Raw genomic sequence first — 5170 nt, 5'->3', positions numbered from 1 at the left:
ACCTTTTTCGAATTGCCTGGTGACCTCCCTACTTCCAAAGACACTTAACCCGAGCCACATGAGGATTCTGGGGTGGGCCCTAAATGCTTATTGCCTGCACATCGTTTGCTTATTAGGTTCTCTATGTTCCTAGTATTCTTTCTTTTCCCATCGCCCTCTACCTACTCGCAGCATCTGAATCAGGGTGGCCACTGTCAATACAGTGCACCAAGGGTGGTTCTTCATCCAGTTCTTTAATTTGTTAAAGAGAAGTCTCCTCACACAGTGCCTCCACTCATTCATGACACAGACATTTACTGATGCCCATTTGTGTGCCAGATACTGGTCTAGACACTAAAATGTGGGGAGGGATGAGCCATCATCCCTCCCCAGCAGGAGCTCAGCATCCAGCGAGACACATGAACAAAGACAGGAGAGGCAGGTAGAGTCGCAGCTTACAGGCCTACACCGGTGCTTCCCAGCCCACCTTCTGTGCCACAGTAACTGAGAAACTAATTTAAAACGCAGCATCCAGGCCCCAAACACCAGAACTACCAAATCAGAATCTCTGGGTGTAAGACCTTGAAATCTGCATTTTAACAATGGTGTCTAAAATACTCCCAAGTTTAGTACTCACAGATCTGTCCTACACCCCACTGAAGCTTTAGCCACATCTGTGCCTTTAGTCACATCTGTACATTTTTGTGCAGTAGCACAGGCTCATTGGGGGTCTATTTCTATGTGGCTCCTAGGGACCCATAGGACTGAAGGAGGTATCAATAATGGGGCAGAACCCATGAAAACTCTTGAAGAAACAGAAGGGCTGTGGCTTTGGGAACTCAGGACGAAGGGACTTCACCCCACCCCAGCATTGTGACTGCTGGGAGACCTTGGGGTGCAGCATGGGAACAGTGGCAGCAGTCATTGCCTACTGGAATGGAGGAGCAGGAGCAGAGGACATTATGTGGACAAGCTGGAGTGAATAGAGCCACACTCTGGCATTAGAGAGGAGCAGAGAGGAAGAAGCCAAGAGGTCAGTGTTTCTGATCTAGCATGGCTTTGCTGCTTCCAGGGACCTCTTGATGCATTCATGGAACTTGCAGGGGTTGGGGAGGTGGGTGAGCGATTCACACCAAAGCTGCCAGTGTCTCAAGTTGTCTGCATGGAGAGAAATGTTTCTGAAGCATACAGCACCATTGCTGCTGCAGGCTTCGTGTGCATGAGTTTGACTATAGCCGTGTCCTCCAGGACACTGTCATGGGCCAACATGCTATGTGCATATATCCTAGATGGGCCATTGGTCTATCAAACCTAGTGAGACAAGTCCAGCTCTCAGGTGAGCACAGGTTAGGCTCAAAAACCGGCTCTGCTACACTGGTTTCAACTTTGTTCTCATCATATGCACTTGGCTAATGGATTCTGTCCCTTGAGAGATCACACAGTTAAACTAGACCATCCTGCAGATCTCTCGATACCCAGCCTCAAACACCCCTAACTCGATGTTGCTTTCTTCCTAAGCTCCACATTGGGTTGTGGAAATGATATTCGCTTTAACCCATTGAATCCCAGCTCTGCCACTAACTCGTTGTGTGACTTTGGGAAAGTTGTTTACCTTCTTTGAGCTTCAGTTGCCCCATCTATTAAATAATAATGTATATTTCACAGTATTGCTTTATAAATATCAGCCCCTTTCCATTTCTCTATAGTTCAGTGTCATAAGTAATAGGCCCATGTTTTGACATTTGAAAAGACATATTTATAGTCAGCCACTTTGTTCATAACTTCATATATTAATTTTAGTTTGAACATTTCGTTAATGGAAAATACTTCAGATATAGCAGAAAATTCTCCAGAGATATTTTTCAATGGGTGGTAGGTTTTAAAGTGTCTCTGTCTTTTGGAATGGATGGCAGACAATTAGCCTGCCTTTTGCATGAGAAATCAGACTAATTACTGGTGAGGCTTGGCTAATGGGGTCCTTTGTGAACTCTCTCCCTAAATGAGAAATCTTTAACTTTTCACAAAAATGCAATCTCATTTGTGCTGCTGATTCCTAATATTTTGAAATAAATGCATGGCCTCTGGGCTTTTGTAGTCAAATAGCCCAAATCAAACCAAGCTGCTCTGCTAGGAGAAAAGTATTTTGTGTGAATCTCCTGGAAGAAACTTTTAGAACCAGTTTGGAGTTACCATAAGCAAAGACTGGCTGTAGCCTGCTATGGGGCAAGATTCATGGAACTTGCAGGGGTTGGGGAGGTGGGTGAGCTATTCACACGAAGTGGGCCTGGGCTTAGAGTGTGGGTTTACCCTGTTTGGGCTGAATTGGCTTGTTCAGGTGCTTGAACAATAAATTCTGGCATGTTTCAGAGCTCTGTTTATAAGAAGCTGGCAATTTTCATGACCCCAAGTTGACTGCCACCCATAGACACAGGATCAGGGTTCTTTCTGTATCTAAGGCAGAGGAGACAAAAGGTCAGGAAAACCATTATCTGCCCTGCATCAACTTGAAATAAGGATAAAAGTCTGTGGAGGGTAAAAGGAGTTTGAGGCATGGGACATCCTAATAATGACAGGGTCATCCACCAGCAGGAGGCCATTCAAAGAGAGCTTGAAACAGACTGATAAACATGGGAATGCTGATAGGAGGAGAGGAATGGGCAACCCAGGGCTTGGCAGAAATCTGGAGGAATCCAAAAAACGACCCAGAGCTGAGCTGTAACCCATCAGGTCAGCTGGAGGGAGCTGCTCCGGTAGAATCTCCAGTGGCCGTAAAGGGGATGTCTGAAATGTTCTACTTAATAGTCTTTCCTTCAAATTTCCTTCTTAACAAGGACTTTCACAACCACAACTCTTGAGTTATGGGGTCAAAATGGAACTTGGAGATGCTAGGTGCCTTTAGATTCCTTTTGTAATATTAAATGACATTAAATTGCTTCCTAGATGACCCTAAGCTCTTCCCCTATTTTATTTTCACCAGCTCCACTAGTTCTTCCTGAAACTTTGAGAAGGGATGGTTGTCTGCCCCATAAAGGTTTGGGATATTCTGGGTCCCCAATCTGAACTGATGGTGGAATGGAAAGAATCCTTCATTTTTACTTAATAAAGATATCATTCAATTAAAGAAAAGATTTGGTAGAAAACTTTAGGAAGATAAGAGACAGAGATGGTTTTAGGACATACAGATAGTAAAGTTGTAAGGGGAGCTTTTGGCAAAAGTAGGAGCCCGTAAACCTCTCCTGTACCTGGCCTAGAACACCTTGATCTAAAACCTCTTTTTAAATCCTTTAGCATCTCCATCTCCCATTTCATTCTCAGCATGTGTACCATCCCTGTAGAAAATAAGCTTAGGCAGAGGTCTCCATCACCACATGTAAGACTAAATAGGTCATTAAAGGCCTAAGCCTAGGCAGAGAAAGAAAGCCTTTTATTTCTCAATAACCATGATTCTCAAACTGTAGTGTGCATAAGGACCACCAGGAAAATATGTTAAAGTGTATAGAGAGTTATTCCCAGGATGTGGTTCATCCTCCTCCTCCTCCAGGATAGCACTCTGTGAGTCTTAAGTTGCTCACAACAGCTGCTGCCTCTTTTCAAAGATCACAAAGGAGCAAGATTTCCATATCCTCCCATGCAAAGCCATTTGTGTTTAATTGCCCTTCAGTTAAGAAGTTCTTCCTTAAGTATTTCATCAATTCTCTCATTGCAAGACTCATCAACTCCTGCTCTATTCTCTGTGGAGACTGAAAAACAAGAAGTTAGTATGTAATTTCTAACCCTTCATTGAATCGCAGAGTGTAAAAGCCAAACGAAACTGCAGATATCATCTGGCACTACTCCCATATTCTACCTACATGGATGCTTGCCCAAAGATATGCATGAATTCAGTGGGTTTTAGTTTCCAGTGCCTGCAAAACATCTGAGGGAAGCGTCTGAGACACAGTTGGCTAAGCTAATCTTCCTCCGGTACTGTCCATAGAATTAAAAAATTCAATGTGGCTTTAATTTGGGGGTGGAAATGGGTGCATCCTCCCTTCTCTGTTCTGGAATATTCATGTGCACTCCTTCACCATTCCTCCAAAGGGATGTGCTTTCCATTCCTGCAATCATTTTACTTTATCAAATGAAATTACAAGATACTTACTTAAATTTGAATTTCAGATAAGGAACTAATAATTTTTGCAATATTTGAAACATACTTTTACTAAAAAAAAAGTTATTTATCTGAAATTCAAATTTAACAGGGGGTCTATATTTAATCTGGCAATCCTCATTCCAACATTCTTGAAGTTTTTCAATTAAAACACAACACAGAACTCTTCACATCTTTGGCAATTCTTCATACTCACTAAGGGTACTCCCACCTCATGGTCTTTATACTTGAAGTTCCCTCTGCTAGAATGTTCTTCCCCAAAATACCTGCATGGCTTGATCCCTCACTTCGGGTCAGTACTCATATTTTTACTTATTAAAGATGTGTTCCTTGGCCATCTTATAGAAGCCCCATTATTACTTTTCAACTTCTTATACTGATTTATTTTTCTCTCAACACTTATTTCTACCTGGCAAAGTGTATTTTTAACTATTTGTATAGTTTATATACCTTCTCTTAAAGTAGAATAAAAACTGCATGACACAGGCGCTTGGCTTTACTCATTGCTATATTTCTAGTATGTAGGCATGTAATAGGGCCATGTATTAGTTATCTAAGGCTGCATTAAAAAGTACCCCAAAATGTAGTGCTTAAACACTAGTCATTTATTACCTCTTACTGTTTCTGTGATCAGGATTTCAGGAGTTGCTTGGCTAGGTAGTTCCGGCCAAGGGTCTCTCATGAGGTTTCAGTTGGATATTGGCTGGGGTTACACACATCTGAAGACTTGTTTGGAGCTGGAGGATCCACTTCCAAGGTGGCTCATTCATATGGCTGGAAGATGTTGCTGGACGTTGGCAGAAGCATTTCTTTTTTTTTTTTTTTTCCAAGTCAGCCTCTTCACAGGGCTGCCATGACGCTTGTGTGATGTAGTCGTCAAAGTCACACAGAGTTGGGAGGATTGCTTGAGGCCAGAAGTTCAAGACCAGGCTGGGCAACAAAGAGAGACCCCATCTCTACAAATACACATGCGCGCGCGCACACACACACACACACACACACACACACACACACAGAAACAAAGTCACACATTGTTGCTTC

General features: G+C 42.7%; 2 annotated features.

The window, feature by feature from the left end:
* Nucleotides 3342-3842: an enhancer, noted in NCBI's record as "OCT4-NANOG-H3K27ac-H3K4me1 hESC enhancer chr2:170962893-170963393 (GRCh37/hg19 assembly coordinates)". NCBI's record gives its function as "activates a minimal SCP1, AML or CMV promoter by ChIP-STARR-seq in naive H9 embryonic stem cells {active_cell/tissue: H9 hESC(naive)}" and the evidence as "EXISTENCE:reporter gene assay evidence [ECO:0000049][PMID:30033119]".
* Nucleotides 3843-4343: an enhancer, noted in NCBI's record as "OCT4-NANOG-H3K27ac-H3K4me1 hESC enhancer chr2:170962392-170962892 (GRCh37/hg19 assembly coordinates)". NCBI's record gives its function as "activates a minimal SCP1, AML or CMV promoter by ChIP-STARR-seq in naive H9 embryonic stem cells {active_cell/tissue: H9 hESC(naive)}" and the evidence as "EXISTENCE:reporter gene assay evidence [ECO:0000049][PMID:30033119]".

The sequence above is a fragment of the Homo sapiens genome, chromosome 2, assembly GCF_000001405.40.
Source record: "Homo sapiens chromosome 2, GRCh38.p14 Primary Assembly".
In the NCBI taxonomy this organism is placed as follows: Eukaryota; Metazoa; Chordata; class Mammalia; order Primates; family Hominidae; genus Homo; species Homo sapiens.
The sequence above is the reverse complement of the archived record's forward strand: the minus strand, read 5'-3'. Positions and strand labels throughout refer to the sequence as shown.